Source organism: Homo sapiens, chromosome 19 (genome assembly GCF_000001405.40).
Source record: "Homo sapiens chromosome 19, GRCh38.p14 Primary Assembly".
In the NCBI taxonomy this organism is placed as follows: domain Eukaryota; kingdom Metazoa; phylum Chordata; class Mammalia; order Primates; family Hominidae; genus Homo; species Homo sapiens.
The window spans coordinates 56011760-56039440 of NC_000019.10; the positions used below are offsets into that span (position 1 = coordinate 56011760).

Genomic DNA, 27681 nt, shown 5'->3' on the forward strand with positions numbered 1-27681 from the left:
CTTGGCTCACTGCAACCTCTGCCTCCCAGGTTCAAGCGATTCTCCTGTCTGCCTCCCAAGTAGCTGGGATTACACACGCGCGCCACCGTGCCTGGCTAATTTTTGTGTATTTGGTAAAGATGGAGTTTCACCGTATTGGTCAGGCTGGCCTAGAATTCCTGACCTCAGGTGATCCACCCACCTCAGCCTCCCAAACTGCTAGGATTACAGGCATGAGCCACCGCACCCAGCCTAGATCTTATAAATTCTATGTAAGTTCAGATTCTTTCATCTCTTACATGGTGAATCTATTTAGTCTAATAGATTGAATGTATTATGATGCTCAAGACATAGCTCCTAATATAAATCCACCCCCACAAGGAAAGGTGTTCTTCCCGTAGTGGCTGCTTTTTTTCTTTTTTCTTTCTCCCACAGAGTCTCGCTCTGTCGCCCAGGCTGGAGTGCAGTGGTGCAGTCTGGGCTCACTGCAAGCTCCACCTCCCAGGTTCACACCATTCTCCTGCCTCAGCCTCCCAAGTAGCTGGGACTATAGGCACCTGCCACCATGTCCGGCTAATTTTTTGTATTTTTAGTAGAGATGGGGTTTCACCATGTTGGCCAGGCTGCCTTCGAACTCCTGACCTCGTGATCCACCTGCCTTGGCCTCCCAAAGTGCTGAGATTACAGGCATGAGCCACTGCGCCTTGGCCTTTTTTTTTTTTTTTTTCCGGATAACTCGATGCAGGTTTACATATCGTAAAATCTTGAGAATACAATTCGAAAATTTATAAACATGAACCTATTACCATAATCCAGTCTTAGGACATTTCCATAACCCAAAAAAAAAAAAAAATCCTTCAGCAGAGACAACAAGATGGAGAAAATTGGCCTGTCTTACTTTTGCATAATTTGGAACGATCTTACAATTATTTTCCTTGGAACGATCTTACAATTATTTTCCCAGAACCTGATATTGTAATGAATGACACTTACAGACTTCTTTCAAGTGTTAAACTGCTGTTGCTTTCCTGGAATACCTGTGATATAAGCACCATTACATACCTTTGATACACTTCTGATACAGTTTGCTGATAAGTCACTTCAAATTTGGCGTCTGTGTTTGAGTGAACTGGTCTGTAATCTCTTTATATACTTTCCTTGCTTTTTTAAAGTTGAGAGAAAATTCATATATCATAAAATTCATCTTAATACAATTCAGTGTTTTATTGTATTAACAAAGTTGTGTAACCATCACTGCTACCTAATTTCAGGAAATTTTCATCACCCCAGAAAACCACATACCTATTAGCCATCACTCCCCATACCCAGCCCCTGGAAACCAGTCATCCACTTTGTGTCTGTGAATTTTGCCTTTTCTGGACTTTGCATATAAATGAAATCAGACACTTTGTTATATTGTGTGACTGGCTTTCTTCATTTAACATAATGTTTTTGTTTTTTGTTTTTGTTTTGAGATGGAGTCGTGCTCTGTTGCTGAGGCTGGAGTGCAGTGGTGCGATCTCGGCTCACTGCAACCTCCGCCTCCCTGGTTCACGCTATTTTCCTGCCTCAGCCTCCTGAGTAGCTGGGACTACAGGTGCCTACCACTACACCCAGCTAATTTTTTGTATTTTCAGTAGAGACGGGGTTTCACAGTGTTAGCCAAAATTGTCTCGATATCCTGACCTTGTGATCTGCCCACCTCAGCCTCCCAAAGTGCTGGGATTTTAACATAATGTTTTAAAGATTTGTCAATATCATAGCCTGTCTCAGGACTTCATAACTTTTTATGGCTGAACAGTATTCCTTTTATATATATACCGCTTCTTGTTCATTTATCACATGATGGACATTTGGGTTTTTTTTTTTTTTTTTTTTTGCTATTATGAACGATGCAGCTATGGATTCCCACGTGTGTGTTTGTGTAGATGTGTTTTTGATTCAGGGAGGCCTATACCTAGGAGTGGAAGTGGTGGGTCATATGGCAACTGTGTTTAACTTTTTGAGGAGCTCTGCCAAATGGTTTTTCTTGAGTGACTGCACCATTTTGCATCCTCACCAACACCTTAATGAAAGCTACAGTAACGTTTGCTCCACTATTTTTCATTGTAACCATCCTAGTAGTTATGAAACATTGACTGTGGTTTTGATTTGAATTTCCCTAATTATGTTCAGAATCTTTTCGTGTGCTTATTGGCTACTTCTGTGTCTTTAGAGAAATGTATATTCAAATCCTTGGTCCTTTTTTAACTTCATTATATTGTTGACTTGCAATACTTAGGTTTTATCATCTAGATTATGTAGAGACATAATTTTATATATTCCCCTGTTCTCTGAGTTGTCTTTTCACATTGCTGATACTGTCCTTTGAAGCACAGCGGGCTTTTATTTTACAAGACAAATTTATTTCCTTGATTGTTTGTGCTTTTGGTGTTATATCTTTAAAAAAATTGTTTAACCCAGCTGGGTACGGTGGCTTACACCTGTAATCCCAGCACTTTGGGAGGCCAAGGCGGTGGATCACAAGATCAGGATATCCAGACCCTCCTGGCCAACATGGTGAAACCCTGTCTCTACTAAAATACAAAAAAATCCACCAGGCATGGTGGCGCTTTCCTGTAGTCCCAGCTCCTTGAGAGAGTGAGGCAGGGGAATCGCTTGAACCCAGGAGGTGGAGGTTCCAGTGAACCAAGATCGTGCCATTGCACTCCAGCCTGGTGACAGAGAAACGCTCCATCTCAAAAAAAAAAAAAAAAAATTGCTTAACCCAAAATCAGAAGGTTTACACCAATATTTCCTCTTAAGGATTTTGTAGTTACAGCTCTTAAAAACATTTAGGTCTTTAAACATTTTGAGTTAATTTTGTATATAGCATGAAGTAGAGGGTTCAACTTCATCCTTTTGTGTGTAGATAACCAGTTCTCCAGCAATATTTATTGAAAACACTATTCTTTATCATTGTCTAGATATTCTTGTCTAAAATCACAGATGTATGGGATTATTTTTAAACTTTCCAATCTATTCCATTGATCTCTATATCTGACCTTGTGCCTGAACCACACTGACTTAACTACTATTGCTTTATAGTTTTGAACTCAAAGTGTGATTCTCCAACTTGACTTCAAGATAGATTGGCTATTCTGGGTCTGTTGAATTTCCATGTGACTTTTAGTATCAATCAGCTTTACAATTTCTGCAAGCAAAAAAAGGTAGCTGGGATTTTGATGAGATTGCATTATGTCATGTAGATTAATGTTGGGTATATGACACAGTAACAACATTAAGTCTTCAACCCATGGACACAAGGTGGTCTTTCCATTAATTTAGGGTTTTCTTAATTTTTTTTGGTTACGTTTGTGGCTTTCAGGATACAAGTCTCTCATTTCATTTGTTAAATTTGTCCTGAAATATTTTGTTCTATGCCATTATAAGTGGAGTGTTTGTTTTGTTTTCGTTTTGTTTTGTTTGTTTGTTTGTTTTTGACAGAGTTTCACTCTTGTTGCCCAGGCTGGAGTGGTGTGATGTCGGCTCACTGAAACCTCTGCCTCCTGGGTTCAGGCAATTCTCCTGCCTCAGCCTTCCAGTAGATGGGATTACAGGCACACGCCACCATGCCTGGCTAATTTTTTGAATTTTTAGTAGAGACGGGGTTTCACCATGTTGGCCAGGCTGGTCTTAAACCCCTGACCTCAAAAGATTCGCCTGCCTCGGCCTCCCAAAGTGCTGGTATTAGAGGAGTGAGCCACTGTGCCTGGCATTGTTCATTTTATTTTGTTTACTGCCAGTGTATAGAAATACTTTTGATTTTGAATCGTCGGATCTTGAATCTAGTACTTATGTTACTGGCGCACACTGCCCTGGCGCTGAGCCAGTGGTTCTGTGCTCTAAACTGGTCAGAAAATTAACTATGGCATGACTAAGTTTATCTGGGGTGTCCAACATCTCTGATTTGAATAATATACACAGTATGTTTGTGTTTATTCTTCTCCCTTCTCTTTTGCAGGAATTTCACAAGCTGTGCAACAAGATAGTGCCACAGCTGCAGAGACAAAAGAACAAGGTGAATGAAATAGATCTATTCATTTGTTGCCCTCCTGGAAGAAAGTTGGGTGAGAGAAGTTCATGTAGTTCAAAGGACGGGGAAATCCACTTTCCCTTTCTTCATCCTCATTTGTCTCTGGTGTGTGAGTCCCTCTTCCCTAAGAGATCTTGGGATCAGCACCATGGACAGAACCTTGCACGTTCACTACGATTATTTTCACTACAGTTTTTTATTTTTAACTGAAAAATAAGAATTGTATATACTTATGGGGCGTGAGGTTTCAATACACGCATATATTGTAGAATGATCAAATCAGGGTAACTAGTGTATCCATCACCTCAAATATTCTTTGTGCTGAGAACATTTTATTTTTACTTATTTATTTATTTTGAGATGGAGTTCTTTTCTTGTGGCCCAGGCTGGAGTGCAGTGGTGTGATCTCAGCTCACTGCCAGCTCCGCCTCCCGGGTTCAAGCGATTATTCTGCCTCAGCCTCTCAAGTAGCTGGGGCTACAGGCATGCACCACCACGCCCAGCTAATTTTGTATTTTTAGTAGAGACAGGGTTTCTGCATGTTGGTCAGGCTGGTCTGGAACTCCCGACCTCAGGTGATCCACCCACCTCAGCCTCCCAAAGTGCTGGGATTACAAGCTTGAGCCACCACACCCAGCTGTGCTGAGAACATTTAAAATCCTCTTTTAGCTATTTTGAAATAGACTTTGTTATTAACCAGTCACCACGTTGTGCAATAGAATACCAGAACTTACTCCTCTTGTCTAGCTGTAAGTTTGTACCTGTTGACTAATGTTTTCCAACTTTCCCGGTCCACTCTCTGCCCCACCAGCCTCTGGTAACCACTGTTCTACCCTCCAATTCTGAGTTCGACATTTTTAGATTCCACGTGTCAGATCCTCTGGTATTTCTCTGTGCCTGGCTTACTTCACTTAACATAATGTCCTCTAGGTTCCTCAATGTTGTAGCAAATGACAGAATTTCCTGTATGTTTTAGAGCTGAATAACCCATTGTGTATATACACCACATTTTTTTAAGGGAGTCTTGCTCTGTTGCCCAGGCTGGGGTGCAGTGGCGCGATCTCAGCTCACTGCAAGCTCCGCCTCCTGGGTTCAAGTGATTCTCCTGCCTCAGCCTCCCAAGTAGCTGGGATTACAGGCATGCGCCACCATGCCCAGCTAATTTTTGTATTTTTAGTGCAGATGGGGTTTCACCGTGTTAGGCAGGATGGTCTCAGTCTCTTGACCTCGTGATCCGCCCGCCTCGGCCTCCCAAAGTGCTGGGATTACAGACGTGAGCCACCGCGCCCGGCCAAAATCCTTTTCATTTCTTTAAGGCTGTTAGTTGTGACCCTCTTTCATTCCCGACTCCAGTAATTTTAGCTGTCTCTTTTTTTCCTTGGTCAGTCTGGCTAAAGGTCTGTCAATTTTGTTCTTTTCAAAGAACAAACTGGTAGGTTTGTTTTCTCTATGGTATTTCCATCTTGTATTTTGTTTATTTCTTTATTCCCTTTCTCTGCCTGTTTTGGGGTGAGTTTGCTACTCACTAACCCCAAAAGGGGGTTCTTTCCTACTTTAAGGTGGGAAGTTATATTATATTTCAGATCTTTCTTAGGCATTTATGGCTATAAATTTTCCTTTATGCACGGCTCTACCTACACGCTGTAAATATTGCTGTGTTTTGTTTCCACTCATTTCAAAGTATTTAATTCCCTTTTGTTTCCCCTTTGACCTGTTGAGGATCGTGTGGCTTCACTTCCATATATTTGGAAATTTTCAAATTTTCTGACTGATTTCTAATCTTATTTCATTGTGTTAAGAGAGCATACTTTGTATAATTTCAAGGAACATAAACTTGAAGCATGTTTTATGCCTGATGTATCTATCTTGAAGAAGGTCTGTTTGCAGTTGAGAAGGGCATGTTTTCTGCTGTTGGGTGGAGCGTTGGTTTGATATCTGCCTTCACTGTTTTCCATATCGGTAAATAGCGTCACTATGTGCCTGGTCGTTTACACCAAAAGCTTAGTCGTTTTTTGCTCGTTTGTTTGTCTCACTCTGTCTCCCAGGATGGAGTGCGGTCGCGCAATCTTGGCTCACTGCAACCTCCACGTCCCAGGTTTAAGCAGTTCTTGTGCCTTGACTTCCTTAGTAGCTGTATTTTTTAATATTTATTTTCTCCACCATATATCTAGCAAATCAGAAGATCATATGGTCTCTACCCGTAATATATGACCCATTTTTACACAGTTCTTCCCATCTTCTGTATTTCTGTGGTGTATATACACAATGGGTTATTGAAGGCATTTCATTTGCGTCCCAAACGCAATCCACTTTTACATACAATCAATTTTTCATACAATAACCAAGGCGATCTAAAAATTTACGCCTGTAACTTGATTCCCATGCTTAAAAATCCTTAAGTGGTTTTTATTCTGTTTGTGATTTTAAAAAATCTATAATTTTTCTCTAATTGACAAGACAAAGACCACCCTAATGATTGTTCTTTAAAATGGCAAATCTATTCTCATATATCCTAAGACGAATTTGTATTTAGCCTCACATGGTAACTATTTCCTGATAAATATATATAGTGGTTATTCTCAGTCAGTGGTAGCTACTATATGCCAGAGGCTGTGTTATTACTCTACCAAATCATCTCCACAGCAACTCGACAACATAAGAACAATTTCTTTGCTTTTCTAGATGAGCATACAGAAACATTTAACTTCAGTAACTTGATGAAGATCTTACAAATAGTTTATGACAACTCACATTTGAATCCTGTGTCTAATTCAAATCCAATTCTTTTTTTAAGAGAGAGAGTTTTGCTGTATTGCTGAGACTACAATGCAGTGGCTATCCACAAGCATGACCGTAGCTCACTACAGCCTCAAACTGCTGGACTCAAGTGATTCTCCTGCCTCAGCCTCCCAAGTAGCTGGGACTACAGGCATGTACCACAAAATCTGGCTCTAAGATCCTAAGATCCTTAATTCTTAACTGTAGGTTTTGCCCCTCATTTAATTTTTGTATTCTTATTATTATTTTTGGAGTGCAGTGGCATGATCTCAGCTTACTGCAACCTCTGCCTCCAAAGTTCAAGTTACTCTCCTGCTTCAGCCTCCTGAGTAGCTGGGATTACAGGCACGTGCCACCATCCCTGGCTAACTTTTTGTATTTTTTAGTAGAGATGGGGTTTCATCATATTGGTCAGGCTGGCCTCGAACCCCTGACCTCTGGTGATCTGCCCGCCTCGGCCTCCCAAAGTGCTGGGATTACAGGTGCGAACGACCACGCCCAACCTACCCTTCATTTTAATAACTTGTGCAAGGCTCTTCAAGGAGAAATGAGCCTGGGACCCTCACCCTCAAGCTTTGAATTAGTGCTCATTGTACCAGTGCACTCTGTCTTCTAGCTGAGACAGTGGTTGCCATGTTTTCAACTGGCCAGAAAATAAATATGGCATGACTAAGCTTATCTTGGGGGTGTCTGACATCTCTGACTCAAATAATAAACACAAGTATGTTGGAATTCATTCTTCTTTTGCAGAAATTTCACAAGCTATGGAACAAGAAGGTGCCACAGCAGCAGAGACAGAAGAACAAGGTGAGGAAAATAGATGTATTCCTTGGTTGCCCTCCTGGAAGAAAGTTGGGTGAAAGAAGTGTAAGTAGTTTAGATTTCAAGGGTATGTAGTTTAGATTGCCTTTCTTCATTCTCATTTGTCTCTGGTGTCAACCCCTTCCCTTCAAGCTCTTGATCAGTACCATGGATAGAGCTACGCAAGTTCACTGTGATTATCTACAGTCAGATACTATGAAGACAAAATTCTAAAGAACCCATAATTCTAGGGGACTCGAATCAATCACAACTTTGTTTGATGGATGTTAAACATATGGCCAAGAGTAGTCAAATGCTGTCTTCAAACTTAAGTGGCAGTAATTATTTTTGTAATTCCTTCTATCAACTAATATGTACATGAATACCTGCCATTGAAGAATTGTGCTGGAATTACAGTGGTAAGAAAAACATGTCTTGCCTTCATGGCATTTTTTTTTTTTTGAGAAGGAGTCTCGCTGTGTCGCCCAAGCTGTAGTGCAGTGGCGGGATCTCAGCTCAGTGCAACCTCTGCCTCCCAGGTTCAAGCGATTCTTCTGTCTCAGCCTCCCGAGTAGCTGGGATTACAGGCACCTGCCACTGTGCCCGACTAATTTTTGTATTTTTAGTAGAGATGGGGTTTCACCATATTGGCCAAGCTGGTCTCGAACTCGTGACCTCGGCTGCCCACCTCGGCCTCCCAAAGTGCTGGGATTACAGGCATGAGCCACCACGCCCGACCTACCCCTCATTTTAATAACTTGTGCAAGTCTCTTCAAGGAGAAATGAGCCTAGGACCCTCACCCTCAAGCTTTGAATTAGTGCTCATTGTACCAGTGCACTCTGTCTTCTAGTTGAGCCGGTGGTTGTCATGTTTTCAACTGGCCAGAAAATAAATATGGCATGACTAAGCTTATCTTGGGGGTGTCTGACATCTCTGACTCGAATAATAAACACAAGTATGTTGGAATTCATTCTTTTGCAGAAATTTCACAAGCTATGGAACAAGAAGGTGCCACAGCAGCAGAGACAGAAGAACAAGGTGAGGAAAATAGATGTATTCCTTGGTTGCCCTCCTGGAAGAAAGTTGGGTGAAAGAAGTGTAAGTAGTTTAGATTTCAAGGGTATGTAGTTTAGATTGCCTTTCTTCAATCTCATTTGTCTCTGGTGTCAACCCCTTCCCTTCAAGCTCTTGATCAGTACCATGGATAGAGCTACGCAAGTTCACTGTGATTATCTACAGTCAGATACTATGAAGACAAAATTCTAAAGAACCCATAATTCTAGGGGACTCGAATCAATCACAACTTTGTTTGATGGATGTTAAACATATGGCCAAGAGTAGTCAAATGCTGTCTTCAAACTTAAGTGGTAGTAATTATTTTTGTAATTCCTTCTATCAACTAATATGTACATGAATACCTGCCATTGAAGAATTGTGCTGGAATTACAGTGGTAAGAAAAACATGTCTTGCCTTCGTGGCATTTTTTTTTTTTTTTTTGAGAAGGAGTCTCGCTGTGTCGCCCAAGCTGTAGTGCAGTGGCGGTATCTCGGCTCAGTGCAACCTCTGCCTCCCAGGTTCAAGCGATTCTTCTGTCTCAGCCTCCCGAGTAGCTGGGATTACAGGCCTGCCACCATGCCCGACTAATTTTTGTATTTTTAGTAGAGATGGGGTTTCACCATATTGGCCAGGTCGGTCTCGCACTCCTGATCTCGTGATCTGCCCACCTTAGCCTCCCAAAGTGCTGGGATTACAGGCATTTGCCGCTGTGCCCAGCTGCCTTCATGGCATTTATCATCCAGACTTACACATTAGCTAAACCTTATGGAATGAAGATGAGTCTAAAGTGCTATAACTTTGCAGGATGATGATTAAACAGCCAAAGATGTAAGAGCAGGCTTCCCTGAGAAACTGTTGATTGAGGCTTTTTTGTTGAGATATAATTAGGATTTTATATACCATAAAGTTGACCCTCCTGAAGTATATGATTCAATTATTTTTAGTCTATTCAGTTATCCAACTGTCATCACTAATTCCAAGACATTTTTTTTCTCCCAAAAAGAAACCCCATACCCCTTTGCAGTCACCAGTTTCCTCTCCCTCAAAACTCTGGACAACCACTAATCTACTTTGTATCTCTAAACTCTCCGATTCCAGATCGGTCATGTAGATGGAATCATATGATATGTAGTTTTCTGTGACTGGCCATGTTTCACTTGGCATAAAGTTCCAAAGCCCGTGTTCCAGTGTCTATCAGCACTTCGTTTTTGTTGCTGAATAATATTCCATTGTATGGAAAGACCCCATTTTCTTCATCTGTTGTTCAGTTCATGGGAATTTGGCTTTTTTCTCACTTTGGGGCTGTTAACAGTGTTCCCTGAACACTCATGTCCTAGGAGGCAGTGATGGAAAGAAGTGACTTGACTAGCATGAGATATTGAAGATATAAAGCTAACTGGAATTGGTGATTGGCAGAGTTCTGAAAAAAGGGGCTCTGGGAATTGCTCTCACCTTTCTTCTGGAACGATCTGGTGGGTGGTGATGCCAGGAGTCAGTGACTAACATTTTGAGCTCTGAGACAGCTTCAAGCTGGGCTATTATCCCACCTGTGCAATGTAATGTTGATCCTGTGTGAGCTACATAATCATTCACTCAACCAATATTTGAAAAACTAATGGTTGCCAGTGTTGTCAACTTTAAATTGGGACGAATAATATACACAAATATCGGTGACATTTTTAGAATAATTACTCTGGTCTAGGCACTGTTCTCCACATTTTGATTGTCAAGACACCTTCACGCTAACCTAGTAAGGGGAGATACACTCTCCACTCCACCCCTTTTTTGAAACAGGGTCTTGCTGTGTCGCCCAGGCTGAAGTACAGTGGCACAATCACAGCTCACTGCAGCCCCTAACTCCTGGGCTGAAGCAATCCTCCTGCCTCAGCCTCCTAAGTAGCTGGAAATTAGGCATATGCTACAACATCTGGCTAATTTTCATATTTGTTATAGAAAGGAGGGGGCAGGGGGTCTCGCTATGTTGCTCAGTCTGGTCTTGAACTCCTGGCCTCAAGTGATCTGCCCATCTCAGCATCCCAATGCACTAGGATTACAGGGATGAGCCACTACGCCCAGCCAATCCCTACTATATAAATGAACAAATTACCATATACCGGATTGATGGGAAGCCACAATTAAATTTATGTAAAACAAGGAAAACAATGAGCTCATCATCTGCTCCAAAGTAGGATCACAAACACAACCTTTTTTTCTTGTTATCACTTAGAAAAAACCTATGAGAGAATATTTTTTGTTAGAAGTAAAAGATGAGGTTTTTTGTTTTTTGTTTTGAGACTGAGTTTAGCTCTTGTTGTCCAGGCTGGAGTGCAATGGCGCGATCTCAGCTCACTGCAACCTCCGCCTCCCAGGTTCAAGCGATGCTCCTGCCTCAGCCTCCCGAGTAGCTGGGATTACAGGCATGTGCCACCACACCCGGCTAATTTTGTATTTTTAGTAGAGAGATGGGGTTTGTCCATATTGGTCAGGCTGGTCTCGAACTCTCAACCTCAGGTGATCCGCCTGCCTCGGCCTCCCAAAGTGCTGGGATTACAGGCGTGAGCCACTGCACCCAGCGAGACAAAAGATGAGTTTTTGATGCTTTGAATTTGAGGCCCTGTGACCCCTTAAAGGGGCGAGTTAGACACACAAGTCTGGAATTTTAGGAAAGAAGCCCTCACGAAGGAGAGGATGGGAACCCTGAAGTATAGACGTGATAATTAAATCCATAGAAAAAGAGGTGTTTGAGGAAGAACTGAGGGAGGCCTGAGTTTGAATGCAGACTGGCTTCCTGGGGTTTCCCTCCCTCTGTAAAAACCTACATTCCAGTGGCACTGCCAGTCCTCTGAGGACAACAGGTCGGTCTGAGCTCAGCAAATAGAGGTTCTAGTCTTAAGGTGTGCTTCCCGTGGTTTCAACACGGCTCTGTTAACACGTCCCCTGATGTGGACGACAGACGGCCCTCCGTTTCCCATGGGTTCTGTGTCCATGGATTCAACTAACCATCGATCAAAAATATTCAGGAAAACTCCACAAAGTTCCAAAAAGCGAAATCCGAATTTGCTACATGCTGAGCGGTGCGTTGAGTCCACACAAATTGAAGCGATGTGTAGACATCGTGTTAGATATTATAAGTAGCCTAGAGATGACTTAACCTACGTGGGAAGAATCCACACAAATGAAGCAATGTGTAGACATCGTGTTAGATATTATAAGCAGCCTAGAGATGACTTAAACTACATGGGAGGATGTGCGTAGGTTATATGCAGTTATACCATTTTATATCAGGGACTTGAGTATCTGGAGATTTTGATGTCATTTGGGGATGTCCTGGAACCCATCTTGGACTGATTCAGAGGATACAACTACAATGAAGTGTAAGTTCTAGAATTTTTATGTGGAGACTTTGCATACAGTTAGTAATTGTATTACACATTTGTGCAGAGAGACTCTTGCTGCCTTTTTAAGGTAAATAGTAGTACCAGTAAACTTAAGGTCCCAGGATATGAATCTTTTTCACGTTCATTGAGTACCTATCAGATATCAGAGGCTGAAGAGGCTGGAACTATTGAGGCAAAAAGACAAGGTATTTTTCTCATGGAGCTTACATTATAAGCTAGGGGGCTGACAAAAACTAAATGCATAAAAGAGTTGAAGTTTGTGATAAATGTCAGGTGGTATAAAATAATTATAGTTTGTGATAAGTTTCATTTTTTCACATTTTCAGGCCCTGTGCTAATGTTGAATGCATATTCTTAAATCTTTATCAGGTGGGCCGGGCACAGTGGCTCATGCCTATAACCCGAGCACTTGGGAGGCTGAAGTGGGCGGATCACTTGAGGTCAGGAGTTCAACACCAGCCTGGCCAACATGGTGAAACCTCATCTCTGCTTAAAAAAAAAAAAAAAAGAACAAATATATATATATGTGTATATATAACATATATACATATATGTACATATATGTATATATGTTATATATACACATATACATATATTTATATATACGTACATACATATATACGTGTGTATACGTACATGCGTATATACATATGTATATGTATATGTGTATGTATATGTATACATATGTATATGTATGTATATGTGTATATATGTATATATACACATATATATACATACACACACACACACACACATGAAATTAGCTGAGCATGGTGGCAGGCACCTGTAATCCCAGCTACTTGAGAGGCTGAGGCAGGAGCATTGCTTGAACCTGGGAGATGGAGGCTGCAGTGAGCCAAGATCACGCTGCTGCACTCCAGCCTGGGCAACAGACTGCAACTGTGTCTCAAAAAAAAAAAATCTTCATCAGGTGGGGAAACTGAACAGCAGCTTGTATCAAATCATACAGATGCTCTACAGCAGGGGTCCCCAACCCCCAGGCCATGGACTTGTAGGGTGGCCTCTTAGGAACCAGGCAGTATAGCAGGAGGGAGCAAAGCTTCATCTGTATTTACAGCTGCTCCCCATGACTCATGTTACCACCTGAGCTCTGCCTCCTGTCAGATCGGATGTGGCATTTGGTTCTTCCAGGAGCATGAGCCCTATTGTGAACTGCACATGTGAGGGATCTGGGTTGCGTGCTTATGAGAATCTAATGCCTGATGATCTGTCAGTGTCTCCATCACCCCCAGATGGGACCATCTAGTTGTAGGAAAACAAGCTCAGGCTCCCACTGATCCTACATTATGGTGAGTTGTATGATTATTTCATTATATATTACAATGTAATCATAATAAAGTGCACAATAAACATAATGTGCTTGAGTCATCTCAAAACCACCCCCTTCCACCCCGGTGTGTGGAAAAATTGTCTTCCACAAAACCGGTCCCTGGTGCCAAAAAGGTTGGGGATCACTGCTCTACCGTAGAGCTTGGGTTCCAGGCGGGATCTGTTTGACCTCAAGGAACGTGCTCCGTTCTCTCTCTCTCTCTCTCTGTCTCTCTGTTTTTTTTTGAGATGGAGTCTCGCTCTGTCGCCCAGTCTGGAGTGCAGTGGCACAATCTTGGCTCGCTGCAAGCTCCACCTTCTGCGTTCATGACTTTCTCCTGCCTCAGCCTCCCGAGTAGCTGGCATTACAGGCGCCCGCCAACATGTCTGGCTAACTTTTTTTTTCGTATTTTTAGTAGAGACGGGGTTTCACTGTGTTAGCCAGGATGGTCTCAATCTCCTGACCTTGTGATCCACATGCCTCAGCCTCCCAAAGTGCTGGGATTACAGGGGTGAGCCAGCACATCCGGCCATTCCCCTCTTTATGTACAGCAGGATTCCCCCATTGCGTGGGGGAAACCAAGGGATGGAACAGGAGGGGCACACCTGTCCTACAGGTGTAGAACTTGGGGCCATGGTACATGCATCCGTGGCTCCCTCAAGTTCCCCTCCCCCTCCCCAAGGCCACTTATGTTGGCATACATCATTCATTTAACAAATACTTGATTTCCCACAGAGTGCCAGGCACTGTCATAAATACTGAAGGTCCAAGAGTGAGTAAGAAAGTCCATGTTTAGATTCTACGGGGGGAGACCATCAGCAAATACAGCGTAACCCATCAGGTCCCCAGTGCAAAAAGGGACATCGGGTTGAACAAGGGAAGCAGAGCTATTTTGTAGATTGTTAAGAAGCTTTTGAGGCCTTTAAAGTAGGGAACGAAGAGTGAGCATGTTCTCAGCACCTGGCTAGGAAGAAACAAGACCCATGTCTGGAGGCTGACTCAGGCCCCACTGATGCTCGGTCCAGGGTTTCTGTGAGGTATATTTTTACTAAAATTCAGATTGGCTTCAGCTGGGCGCAGTGGTTCATGCCTGTAATCCCAGCACTTTGGGAGGCCGAGGTGGGTACATCACTAGGTCAGGAGATTGAGACCATCCTGGCGAACACGGTGAAACCCCGTCTCTACTAAAAATACAGAAAATTAGCTGGGCGTGGTGGCAGGCACCTGTAGTCCCAGCTACTCAGGAGGTTGAGGCAGGAGAATGGGGTGAACCCAGGAAGCGGACGTTGCAGTGAGCTGAGATTGCGCCACTGCACTCCAGCCTGGGTGACAGAGCAAGACTCCATCTCAAAAAAAAAAAAAAAAAAAAAATAGACTGGCTTCAAATTTTGTTTCCCGATTTATTTTTATTTTTATTTTGAGATAGAGTCTCGCTCTGTGACCAGGCTGGAGTGCAGTGGTGTAATCTCAGCTCACTGCAACTTCCATCTCCCGGGTTCAAGCAATTCTCCTGCCTCAGCCTCCTGAGTAGCTGGGGACTACAGGTGCCAACTACCATGACTAGCTAATTTTTGTATTTATTAGAGACGGGGCTTTGCCATTGACCAGGCTGGTCTCAAACTCCTGACCTCAGGTGATATGCCCATCTTGACCTCCCACAGTGCTGGGATGACAGGTGCGAGCCACTGTGCCTGGTCTGTTTCCTGATTTTCATTCTACCCTCTCTGACTCCAGGACATGGAGGTGACACATGGGACTACAAGAGTCACGTGATGACCAAATTCGCTGAGGAGGAGGATGTACGTCGTAGTTTTGAAAACACTGCTGCTGACTGGCCGGAAATGCAAACGTTGGCTGGTGCTTTTGATTCAGACCGGTGGGGCTTCCGGCCTCGCACGGTGGTTCTGCACGGAAAGTCAGGAATTGGGAAATCGGCTCTAGCCAGAAGGATCGTGCTGTGCTGGGCGCAAGGTGGACTCTACCAGGGAATGTTCTCCTACGTCTTCTTCCTCCCCGTTAGAGAGATGCAGCGGAAGAAGGAGAGCAGTGTCACAGAGTTCATCTCCAGGGAGTGGCCAGACTCCCAGGCTCCGGTGACGGAGATCATGTCCCGACCAGAAAGGCTGTTGTTCATCATTGACGGTTTCGATGACCTGGGCTCTGTCCTCAACAATGACACAAAGCTCTGCAAAGACTGGGCTGAGAAGCAGCCTCCGTTCACCCTCATACGCAGTCTGCTGAGGAAGGTCCTGCTCCCTGAGTCCTTCCTGATCGTCACCGTCAGAGACGTGGGCACAGAGAAGCTCAAGTCAGAGGTCGTGTCTCCCCGTTACCTGTTAGTTAGAGGAATCTCCGGGGAACAAAGAATCCACTTGCTCCTTGAGCGCGGGATTGGTGAGCATCAGAAGACACAAGGGTTGCGTGCGATCATGAACAACCGTGAGCTGCTCGACCAGTGCCAGGTGCCCGCCGTGGGCTCTCTCATCTGCGTGGCCCTGCAGCTGCAGGACGTGGTGGGGGAGAGCGTCGCCCCCTTCAACCAAACGCTCACAGGCCTGCACGCCGCTTTTGTGTTTCATCAGCTCACCCCTCGAGGCGTGGTCCGGCGCTGTCTCAATCTGGAGGAAAGAGTTGTCCTGAAGCGCTTCTGCCGTATGGCTGTGGAGGGAGTGTGGAATAGGAAGTCAGTGTTTGACGGTGACGACCTCATGGTTCAAGGACTCGGGGAGTCTGAGCTCCGTGCTCTGTTTCACATGAACATCCTTCTCCCAGACAGCCACTGTGAGGAGTACTACACCTTCTTCCACCTCAGTCTCCAGGACTTCTGTGCCGCCTTGTACTACGTGTTAGAGGGCCTGGAAATCGAGCCAGCTCTCTGCCCTCTGTACGTTGAGAAGACAAAGAGGTCCATGGAGCTTAAACAGGCAGGCTTCCATATCCACTCGCTTTGGATGAAGCGTTTCTTGTTTGGCCTCGTGAGCGAAGACGTAAGGAGGCCACTGGAGGTCCTGCTGGGCTGTCCCGTTCCCCTGGGGGTGAAGCAGAAGCTTCTGCACTGGGTCTCTCTGTTGGGTCAGCAGCCTAATGCCACCACCCCAGGAGACACCCTGGACGCCTTCCACTGTCTTTTCGAGACTCAAGACAAAGAGTTTGTTCGCTTGGCATTAAACAGCTTCCAAGAAGTGTGGCTTCCGATTAACCAGAACCTGGACTTGATAGCATCTTCCTTCTGCCTCCAGCACTGTCCGTATTTGCGGAAAATTCGGGTGGATGTCAAAGGGATCTTCCCAAGAGATGAGTCCGCTGAGGCATGTCCTGTGGTCCCTCTATGGTGAGTACCCCAGGCAGTTTTATCCTATGCCGTGTGCTGAGCTCTGTGTCTCTACTGCTGGGACTTGACATGACTTCCAGGAACTTCAAGGTCCCAGAGAATTCTTTCAGGATGAATGGCCCAGATGACGTCCAGCTGGCTAAAATGCCAGGACCGGAATCTGGCTCATTGTCCACACCTGGGAAAGGTCTTTCACAATACAGGGCCCCGCCTAAGACTAAAGGAAAGGCTCTGGGGTTGAAACCCAGGAATATGTGGTTTATTTTATTATTTTAAGTCAGAGTCTCACTCTGTTGCCAGGCTGGAGTGTAGTGGCACGATCTCGGCTCACTGCAAACTCCACCTCCCAGGCTCAAGAGATTCTCCTGCCTCAGGCTGCCGAGGAGCTGGGACTACAGGCATGCACCACCATGCCCAGCTAGTTTTTGTAATTTTAGTAGAGATGGGATTTCGCCACGTTGGCCAGGCTGGTCTCGAACTCCTGACCTCAGGTGATCCACCCGCCTCAGCCTCCCAAAGTGCTGGGATTACAGGCATCAGCAAGCCCCTCCCATGAATGTGACCGCTCAGGTTTGTGGACTGCTTATTTGGTATGGTGTCCAGGGCCGTGCTGTCCAGTAGAGGGTTCTGTGATGGAAATATTCCATGTGCCTTGTCCAGTAGGACAGCCACCAGCCTCATAAGCCTGTTGAGCATCTGAAACATGGTGAGTGAGACTGTGGAGGTGAAACTCATCTCACTCCATTTCAACTCATTTGTATTTTTTTCTTTTTTTGAGACAGAGTCTCACTGTGTCACCAAGGCTGGAGTACAGCAGCATGATCTTTGCTCACTGCAATCTCTGCCTCCCGGGTTCAAGCGATTCTCCTGACTCAGCCTCTCAAGTAGCTGGGATTATAGGCAGTGCCACCATACCTGGCTAATTTTTGTATTTTTAGTAGAGACAGGGTTTCACCATGTTGGCCAGGCTGATCTCGAACTCCTGACCTCAGGTGAGCCACCTGCCTTGGCCTCCCAAAGTGCTGGGATTATAGGCATAAGCTGCTGTGCCCGGCCTCATTTGTATTTAAATAGTCACACATAGCTGATGCTTGCTGAATAGTGCAGGTCTAGAAAACACACTTTGCTGGACTGTCTCAGTGTCATCCTCCTATGACCCAGAACACAGCAGTGACGAATGTGGACAGGCTGGGTGGACGAGGATTACTTGAGGCCAGGTTTTTGAGACCAGCCTGGGCAACAAAGTAAGACCCTGTCTGTGGACAGGCTGGGTGCAGTGGATCATGCTTGTAATCCCAGCACTTTGGGAGGCTGAGGTGGGTGGATCACGAGGTCAGGAGTTCGAGACCAGCCTGGCCAACATAGTGAAACCCCATCTCTACTAAAAATACAAAAATTAGCCAGGCATGGTGGCGCACACCTGTAATCCCAGCTACTCAGGACGTTGAGGCAGGAGAATTGCCTGAACCCAGGAGGCAGAGGTTGCAGTGAGCCGAGATCACGCCACTGCACTCCAGCCTGGGCAACAGAGTGAGACTCCATCTCAAAAAATAAAAAAAGCCTCAAATTATCACATGGGGCTGGGCGCGGTGGCTCATGCCTGTAATCCTAGCACTTTGGGAGGCTGAGGCAGGTGGATCACACTAGGTCAGGAGTTCGAGACCAGCCTGGCCAACATAGTGAAACCCCATCTCTGCTAAAAATACAAAAATTAGTGGGGCGTGGTGGTGGGTGCCTTTAATCCCAGCTACTCAGGAGGCTGAGGCAGGAGAATTGCTGGAACCCCGCGGGCGGAGGTTGCAGTGAGCCAAGATGGCACCACTGTGCTCCAACCTGGGTGACAGAGTGAGACTCTATCTCAAAAAAAAAAAATTCTCACATGGAAGAGGTCTGGCACAGCACCTGCTGTGTGCTAAGGCCTTGATAACAGGGCAGCTACCTTTGGTTGGAAAACAAGTACAAATGCTTGCTTTTTAGGAGGTGAGCTCATGTCAGTGCAGAAAGAAAGAACAGCTTGCCCGTTACTTTGTTCTTTCCACAGCCAAGAGGAGTCACAGCCTGGGCAATTTTCCTGTAGATTGGCTGAAAACGTGCGCAGCCACAGGCTAAGCACTGAGATGGGAAATTTACATATCATAAAAAGTCAAAGCTACTTGTGTTCACAGCTACCCTGTGCTATACTTACATTCATTCGCTTTCTTCTTCTTTTTTTTTTTTTTTTTTGAGACGGAGTCTTGCTCGGTCACCCAGGCTGGAGTGCAGTGGTGCGATCTCAGCTCACTGCAACCTCCACCTCCTGGGTTCAAGCGATTCTCCTGCTTCGGCCTCCCTAGTAGCTGGACTACAGTTGCCCACCACCACACCCGGCTAACTTTTGTATTTTTAGTAGAGATGGGGTTTCACCATATTGGCCAGGCTGGTCTTGAACTCCTGACCTTGTGATCCTCCCATCTTGGCCTCCCAAAGTGCCGGGATGACAGGCGTGAGCGACTGCGCCCGGCCTCTATTTTTCTTTTATTCTTGAGGGCAAACCCATGAGGTTAGCTCCCTGTTCACAAACGTGGGAAGGTATACACTCAGACACGTGGGAAGGTATAAACTCAGACAGGAGATGATTGCCAGTGGACGGGAGACTAATTGCTCCAATTTTTAGGTGTACGATACAATATTAACTACAGGCACGACATTGAACAATGGATCTCTAGAACTTTTTCATCTCACATCACTGACCCTTCATGCCCATGAAACGATAACTCCATCTCCCCTGCTCCCCAGGCCCCCGGCAGCCTCCACTCTACTTTCTGCTATTTTAGACATTTCAAAGTAGAATCATGAGCCCAGTGTATTGGTGGCTCACGCCTGTCATCCCAGCACTTTGGGAGGCCAAGGTGGGTGGATCACTTGAGGTCAGGAGTTTGAGACCAGCCTGGCCAACATGGTGAAACCCCATCTCTACTAAAAAAATACAAAAATTAGCCAGGCATGGTGGTGGGCACCTGTAATCTCAGCTACTTGGGAGGCTGAGGCAGGAAAATCACTCGAATTTGGGAGGCAGAGGTTGCAGTGAGCCAAGATCATGCCACTGCACTCCAGCCTGGGAGATAGAGACTCCGTCTCCAAAAAAAAAAAAAAAAAAATGTAGACTCATGCAGCATTTTGCAGTATTTGTCCTTTTGTGACTGGTATAGCTCACCTAACATAATATCCTCCAGGTTCATCCACACTGTCAAAAACGGTAGAATGTCCTCCTCTAAGGACGAGTAATATTCCATTAACATATGTATCACATGTTCTTTGTTCATCCATGGATGGACATGTAAGTTTTCCAGATCTGAGCTATTATGAAAATGCCACAGTGAGCGTGGGAGACCAAACACCTCTTCCACATCCTGATCTCAGTTCTTCCGGGTATACACCCAGAGGTAGGATTGTTAGGTCCTATGGTAGCTCTATTTTAATATTTTTTTAGGAACCTCTGTACTGTTTTCCACAGCTGTTGCACAGTTTTACGTTCAAGTGGGGCTGGAATTGAAGCAAAGATCTGATGCAGGGCTGGGCACGGTGGTGGCTCACACCTGTAATCCCAGCACCTTAGGAGGCCAAGGCGGGGGCAGATCATGAGATCAGGAGTTCGAGACCATCCTGGCCAACATGGTGAAACCCCATCTCTATTAAAAATGCAAAAATTAGCTGTGCATGATGGCATGCGCCTGTAGTCCCAGCTACTCGGGAGGCTGAGGCAGGAGAATCGCTCGAACCCAGGAGGCAGAAGTTGCAGTGAGCCGAGATTGCGCCACTGCGCTCCAGCCTGGGCAACGGAGCGAGACTCCATCTCAAAAAAAAAAAAAAAAGATCTGATTCAGGAGCTGGCGGTTCCCAGTCATGCCTGCATACCCCCTCGGGTATCGGTATATCCGGGAGGCAGGGTGGACACCGGGCTAGTCATGCAAAGTGTGATGGCAGCCGCTAAGTTGCCTCAGGGCCTCTAAAGCCACCGTGGTCTCACCTCGAGAGCTCGGTCCCTCTCCTCCGACGTGTTGCCACGACTGCTCATGTTAAACTCCATCCCATGAGCCCATGTTTCTATCCCCCCTGACATAGGATGCGGGATAAGACCCTCATTGAGGAGCAGTGGGAAGATTTCTGCTCCATGCTTGGCACCCACCCACACCTGCGGCAGCTGGACCTGGGCAGCAGCATCCTGACAGAGCGGGCCATGAAGACCCTGTGTGCCAAGCTGAGGCATCCCACCTGCAAGATACAGACCCTGATGTAAGGCTGCCCGCCCCCTACGAGAGAATCCCTTCCCATGACGCTATCCCAGCTCTCCCCTACCTCCTGAGAGACCCATCTGAAGCCTTTCAAGTGCAGCCTGAGGGCATAAGTGCCACCAAAGGTGTAGGAACCAAGTTCCCAAAAGCACAGAGTGGGGAGTCGCTAAAGACCTTGTGATCGGCCGGGCGCAGTGGCTCATGCCTGTAATCCCAGCACTTTGGGAGGCCGAGGTGGGTGGATCACCTGAGGTCAGGAGTTCAAGACCAGCCTGGCCAACATGGTGAAACCCCATCTCTACTAAAAATACAAAAAAAAAATTAGCAGGGCATGGTGGTACGTGCCTGTAATCCCAGCTACTTGGGAGGCTGAGGCAGGGGAATTGCCTGAACCAGGGAGGTGGAGGTTGCAGTGAGCCAAGATCGCACCACGGCATTCCAGCCTGGGTGACAGAGTGAGACTCCATCTTAAACAAAAAACAAAAAAAAACCTTGTGCTGATGTTACTGAAGCAGGCTCCTTGACACCAGGTTTGGACGGGTTTGGATGGATTAAGCTCCCCAAGGCAGGGATTGTTAATACTCTTTCATACACCATTCCCAGTAGCTGGCCCATCACAGGCACTCAGGTATTCGTTGTTTTAAAAGGAAATACAATTAATTAGAAATTTGCAAGTTAGAATGGGAGAAGGATGGGAAGGAAAAATGAGGATACAACTAAACATCACCAGTGTCGAATGTGTCTCCCCTTCCCCATTGCAGGTTTAGAAATGCACAGATTACCCCTGGTGTGCAGCACCTCTGGAGAATCGTCATGGCCAACCGTAACCTAAGATCCCTCAACTTGGGAGGCACCCACCTGAAGGAAGAGGATGTAAGGATGGCGTGTGAAGCCTTAAAACACCCAAAATGTTTGTTGGAGTCTTTGAGGTACGTCTCTGGTAGAGCTTTTGCCTTGTTTTTCTTCGTTTTTACTTGTGTTTGAAATGATTACATAAAGTGGCAAAAATTAAAGAGCTGCAAAGATGGAAAAGTTTTGGTGATGGATGGTGGTGACGATTGCAGGAGTTGAGTGCCACTGAATTGCACACCTAAATAGTTAAAATAGTGCATTCGGTTATAAATACTTTATCACAATTAAAAAAACTCAGTTTCATTAAAAATTGTTCATGCAGAGGCAAGGTCTCGTTTGGTTGCTCAGTCTGATCTTGAACTCCTGGGCTCAGGTGGTCCTCCCCGCTTGGCCTCCCAGAGCACTGGGATTATAGGCTTGAGCCACCATACCCAGCGAGATTTTAATTGTATAGAGGTTGAATGTGCCCTTCTGGGCCGGGCGCGGTGGCTCACGCCTGTAATCCCAGCACTTTGGGAGGCCGAGGCAGGCAGATCACTTGAGGTCAGGAGTTCAAGACCAGCCTGGCCAACATGGTGAAACTCCATCTCTACCAAAAATACAAAAATTAGCCAGGCGTGGCAGCCACCTGTAATCCCAGCTACTCGGGAGGCTGAGTCAGGAGAATCTCTTGAACCCGGCAGGCGGAGGTTGCAGTGAGCTGAGACCGTGCCACTGCACTCCAGCCTGGGCAACAAGAGCAAAACTCTGTCTCAAAGGAAAAAAAGTGCCCTTCTGGCAGTTTCTCCCAGTGGTTAATCTTACATACTATCGCATAATATCAAAACTGGGAAACAGATCCTGGTATGGTGTGTGTACATTATTCTATAGCAGTTTATTACATCTAGATTTGTGTAACAGTCACAGTAACCAAGATGCTCTGGGGTCACACACCCCTCCCTAACCGCACCATTCCTAATCCTCAGGAGCCACGTGTGTCTTCCATCTCTGTATAACCTTGTCATTTTGACAATGCTCTTAAAGTGAAATCGGTGTGGTACATCGTCGCCTGAAACTGGCTTTGCTCCATCAGCGCTTGAGATCCACCCAAGCAGTCAAGTGTTACACACTTTCTTCCTTTCTGTTGATGATGGCCATTCAATGCTATGGAGTACCACAGTTTAACCATTCACCATCCAGGGACACGTTGGTTGGTTGGTTGGTTGGTCGGTCCCAGTTTGTGGCTCTTACTGTGGTTTGTAAGTCCTGGGAAGGTGGTTTTTTCATTAGATTAGCTTGGTTTAGAGATACAACTATTTAATGTTTATATAGTTTTCTTTTCTTTTTGACTGAGTCTAGCTCAGTTGCTCAGGTTGGAGTGCAGTGGCATGATCTCAGCTCACTGCAACGTCCACCTCCCTGGTTCAGGCAATTCTCCTGCCTCAGCCTCCCAAGTAGCTGGGATTACAGGCACCCGCCACCATGCCTGGCTAATTCTTGTATTTTTAGTAGAGATGGGGGTTTCACCATGTTGGCCAGGCTGTCCTCGAACTCCTGACCTCAAGTGATCCACTGGCTGTGCCCTCCCAAATAAAGTATTCTGAGACAGACAAGTACAAGCCCTGCTTTGAGCTTTGTTAGCTGGCACATCAACTAACATCGAAGAATAGTAAGAAAGAAGAAGAATTTGCTTTGTACCATGTGGTGTTTGCCTGGCAGCCAGGGAACTGCACTTTAAGAAGATGTAACCCAGGGAAATTAGCCAAAGCATAAATGTTGTCTCAGGACGGAAATGCTGTGCCTGACATCGTGTGGGGTTTATCTGGGAACAGATGGAGGAAGCTGCATGCTCACTCTTTTGCTCACTGTCTGCACCACAAGTGCAGAGAGCTGGAGCTTAGATTCAAAGAATAAATAAGATAGACATTGTCGGAAAAGATGGATGGAGGCTATTTGGGGCCAAGGAAGGAAAAAGCATGAAGTCACTTAGGTCCAGTTTCCTGGAAGTCTAACGAATTTACCTTCTCATAACTCAACTAATGAATTTACCTTCTCATAACTCACAGGGGCAGGAGTATTGCTCTCTTCTCTTCACTCCTGTATTCCCGGAACCTAGAACTGCTCTTTTCCTGACACCTGGCCCGTATTCCCCAAAGTACTTATTGGATAGAGGGATGGGATGATCAGCTAAGTCTCTAAATGGGAGACTTTGACATTGGAAGATGGATTGGGCCACATCGTGAAGGGTTTCCATTCACTATCACATTGAGGAGTTGGAACTTCCTTTATTCAATAACGACAGATGCTTGATTCTGCGTATAGTACATGTTCCAGGGATGTGCTGATGAATGAAACGAGATTCTTTGATTCAATAACGACAGATGCTTGATTTTGCATGTAGTACTACGACATGTTCCTGGGACATGCTGATGAATGAATTGAGATTCTTTTTTTTTTTTTTTTTTTTTTGGAGACAGAGTCTTGCTCTGTTGCCCAGGCTGGAGTGCAGTGGTGCAATCTCGGCTCATTGCAAGCCCCACCTCCTGGGTTCACGCCATTCTCCTGCCTCAGCCTCCTAAGTAGCTAGGACTACAGGCGCCCGCCACCACGCCCGGCTAATTTTTTTGTATTTTTTTAAGTAGAGACAGGGTTTCACCAGGTTAGCCAGGATGGTCTCGATCTCCTGACCTCGTGATCTGCCCGCCTCGGCCTCCCAAAGTGCTGGGATTACAGGCTTGAGCCACTGCGCCTGGCTGAGATTCTTTCATTCAATAACGACAGATGCTTGATTCTGTGTGTAGTAGTATGACATGTTCCTGGGACATGCTGATAAATGAAACGAGATTGTTTTATTCAATAACGACAGACGCTTGATTCTGCGTGTAGTACTACGACATGTTCCAGAGATGTGCTGATGAACAAAACGAGATTCCTGCTCTCATGGTGCTCACAGGCCAGCACAGGGAGAGCAGAACAAGACAAAAAGAATGATGTGTGCACACACACGGCAGGAGCATGTATAGGCTTGGAGAGCTCTAAAAGTTCTGTCTAAAATTCAACACAGACCAGGCACAGTGGCTCATGCCTGTCATCCCAGAACTCTGGGAGGCTGAGGCAGGTGGCTCACCTGAGGTCAGGAGATCAAGACCAGCCTGGCCAACATGGTGAAACCCCGTCTCTACTATAAATACAAAAATTAGTCGGGCATGATGGCATGCACCTGTAATCCCAGCTACTTGGGAGACTGAGGCAGGAGCATCACTTGAACCCAGGAGGCAGAGGTTACAGTGAGCCGAGATTGCGCCACTGCACTCTAGCCTGGGTGACAGAGTGAGACTGTCTCAAAAAATAATAATAATAAAATAAACCTGCTTCCTTCATCTCTGCCCTAGCCAGGTACTGGCCTAAGTGTTTCGTGGCTATTCTAATATTCTAATCCTCACAACCATCGCTGAGGTTGGTAGTGCTGTTGTCCTCATTTCCAGGGCATAAACTGAGTTGCAGAGATGCTAAGCTATTCGGTTAACAGGGAATTAAGTGATGTGTTAGATTTGGGGGTGGATGTGCTGGCTCGTGGGGTAGCTGTGTACGTTCCTCTTTCGTAAATACTGCCGGTCATCCCGGAAGCTCGTGCCCTTCAGCAAATGCTCGAGTGCCCTTTGTGTACCAGGCACCGTCGCAGCTGCCGAGGGGACCATAGAGAACAAAGCAACCAGGCCTCCACCTTCATGGAGATGACATTCTAGGAAGGAAGACAGGCAGGAAACAAGCACTAACATAAGTATGTGGAACGTTGGGTGGAGGCCGGGCACAGTGGCTCATGCCTGTAATCCAGTGCTTTGGGAGGCCAAGGCGGGTGGAGCACAAGGTCAGGAGTTTGAGACCAGCCTGGCCAACATGATGAAACCCCGTGTGTACTAAAAATACAAAAATTAGCCAGGTATGGTGGTGGGCACCTGTAATCCCAGCTACTCAGGAGGCTGAGGCAGGAGACTCGCTTCAATCCGGGAGATGGAGATTGCAGTGAGCCAAGATTGCGCCACTGCACTCCAGCCTGGGTGACAAGAGCAAGACCCTGTCTCAAAAAAAAAAAAAAAAAAAAATGTTGGCTGGGGTGGGTTGCTATGAATGTTGAGACAATGGAGGGAAGTGGGGTAGGCACCATTTAAGGTCTGGCTTACCCGAAAGGCGACCTTCAAGAGACATGAAAGGACGTGAACCCCATGAAAACCTGAGGGAGGGAGGAGGGGAGGTTGCACTGGAAGGAACAGCAACTTCTCAGGCCCGGAGGCAGGAGCAGACAGAGTTCGAGGACCAGGAAAACGGCCAGCGCTGCTGGCGTGTGCTGAGTAGAGGGGAAATGGGCTGCTTTGGACAAGAGCTGGGATTGCTTCATGCTGCCTGTCTCTGCAGGCTGGATTGCTGTGGATTGACCCATGCCTGTTACCTGAAGATCTCCCAAATCCTTACGACCTCCCCCAGCCTGAAATCTCTGAGCCTGGCAGGAAACAAGGTGACAGACCAGGGAGTAATGCCTCTCAGTGATGCCTTGAGAGTCTCCCAGTGCGCCCTGCAGAAGCTGATGTGAGTGCCACTTCCTTTCCACCAGGATTATCGTAACTTCCACCAGGATTATCGTAACTTCGATTCTCCAGGTCATGGTGGGAGGGAAATGAGCAGATGTACAAACCAGGGGTGAGGAAGGAAGTTGGGACCTCCCAAGACCTGCCCAGTGTGGGGTGTAAGAGTGACCTGAAAAACATCTGTTCTTGCTCCCAAACTCTAAATGGAGATAAAAGGTGGACGCGGGAATCAGCCAGGTGGAAATTGCATAATGACCTTCCCTCCTGATAAAGCTCTCCTGGGCGTGAGGCTTATGTGTGCAGCTTGCACTGTGGGTTAGTGAATGCTTGGCCCCACCACTGGAGAGGTATACCCACTCAGTCACTCAAAGAACATGGGTGGCGGTCAGGCTCCCCTCTGCCTGGTAAAGTCCAGGCCAGAGCTCATGCATTCTGGGCTTCTGGGCACAGAGAGGCTCAAAAAGGAGGAGGGTCACCCAAAATCCCAATCCCACCTCCTTCTATGGAGACGAGGGAGCCCAGAGCAGGGATGAACCCAGGCCTGTGTTGTTGTAGCAGAAGGGCCTCCGAGTGGAAACGCAGGGGGCAGCAGTTCTGCACCCCTAACACCTAAAGGGATATCACTTCTTTCCTTTTCCGTGTCAGAGTTTTGTTGTTGCCCAGGCTGAGTGCAGTGGTAAGATCCTAGCTCACTACAGCCTCAACTCTTGGGCCCAAGTGATCCTCCCGTCTTGGCCTCCTGAAGTTCTGGGACTACAGGTGTGAGCCACCATGCCTGGCCCACTTGCTTACTGATAACTGATCTAGGGAGGGGAGGCGAAGCAGCAGCAACAGTTACAGCAACCACTATTCAATGCTTACTGAGCTGTGCCAAGCACAGCGCTAAAATCCCTCCAACCCTTCCTCGCTGAGTTCTCAAAACAGGTCTACGGAGCAGGTGCTGTTGATAACCCTATCGACAGATGAGACAGCTTCAGAAAGGCTGTGTCACTTGTCCACAGTTGGACGGTGCTCAGATGGTGATGCCGGGAGTCAAGGGTGGGGCTAATTCAGCTGAGCCACCCAGCGTGGCAGCCATTATCCACGTGTGGCCAGCCAAATCTAAATTAAATGGGAAAGTCAGTTTCCTCATCACACTAGACCCATGTCAAGAGCTCAGTAGCCATGTGGGGCTAGCAGCTCCCATTCTGGACAGCACAGCTCTAGGTGACCTTTAATCTTACCTGGATGGCAGTGCTGGTATCAG

At 46.1% G+C, this 27681-nt stretch overlaps 1 protein-coding gene across 1 annotated transcript in view, besides 1 other annotated feature; it reads left to right on the forward strand.

The window, feature by feature from the left end:
- The window catches only part of NLRP5 (NLR family pyrin domain containing 5), a 75036-nt gene that overhangs the window by 24985 nt on the left and 22370 nt on the right, over positions 1 to 27681 (forward strand). Inside the window, exons 4-10 of the mRNA NM_001433705.1 lie at positions 3983 to 4039; positions 7583 to 7639; positions 8616 to 8672; positions 15154 to 16750; positions 20852 to 21022; positions 21783 to 21950; positions 26266 to 26436. Of these exons, the coding sequence (NP_001420634.1) occupies positions 3983 to 4039; positions 7583 to 7639; positions 8616 to 8672; positions 15154 to 16750; positions 20852 to 21022; positions 21783 to 21950; positions 26266 to 26436 (2278 nt within the window). The remainder of the gene's footprint in view (positions 1 to 3982; positions 4040 to 7582; positions 7640 to 8615; positions 8673 to 15153; positions 16751 to 20851; positions 21023 to 21782; positions 21951 to 26265; positions 26437 to 27681) is intronic.
- Positions 14811 to 16010: an enhancer, noted in NCBI's record as "BRD4-independent group 4 enhancer chr19:56537936-56539135 (GRCh37/hg19 assembly coordinates)". NCBI's record gives its function as "activates an origin of replication core promoter dependent on BRD2, P300/CBP, MED14 and CDK7 cofactors, and independent of BRD4, by STARR-seq in HCT116 cells {active_cell/tissue: HCT116}" and the evidence as "EXISTENCE:reporter gene assay evidence [ECO:0000049][PMID:35650434]".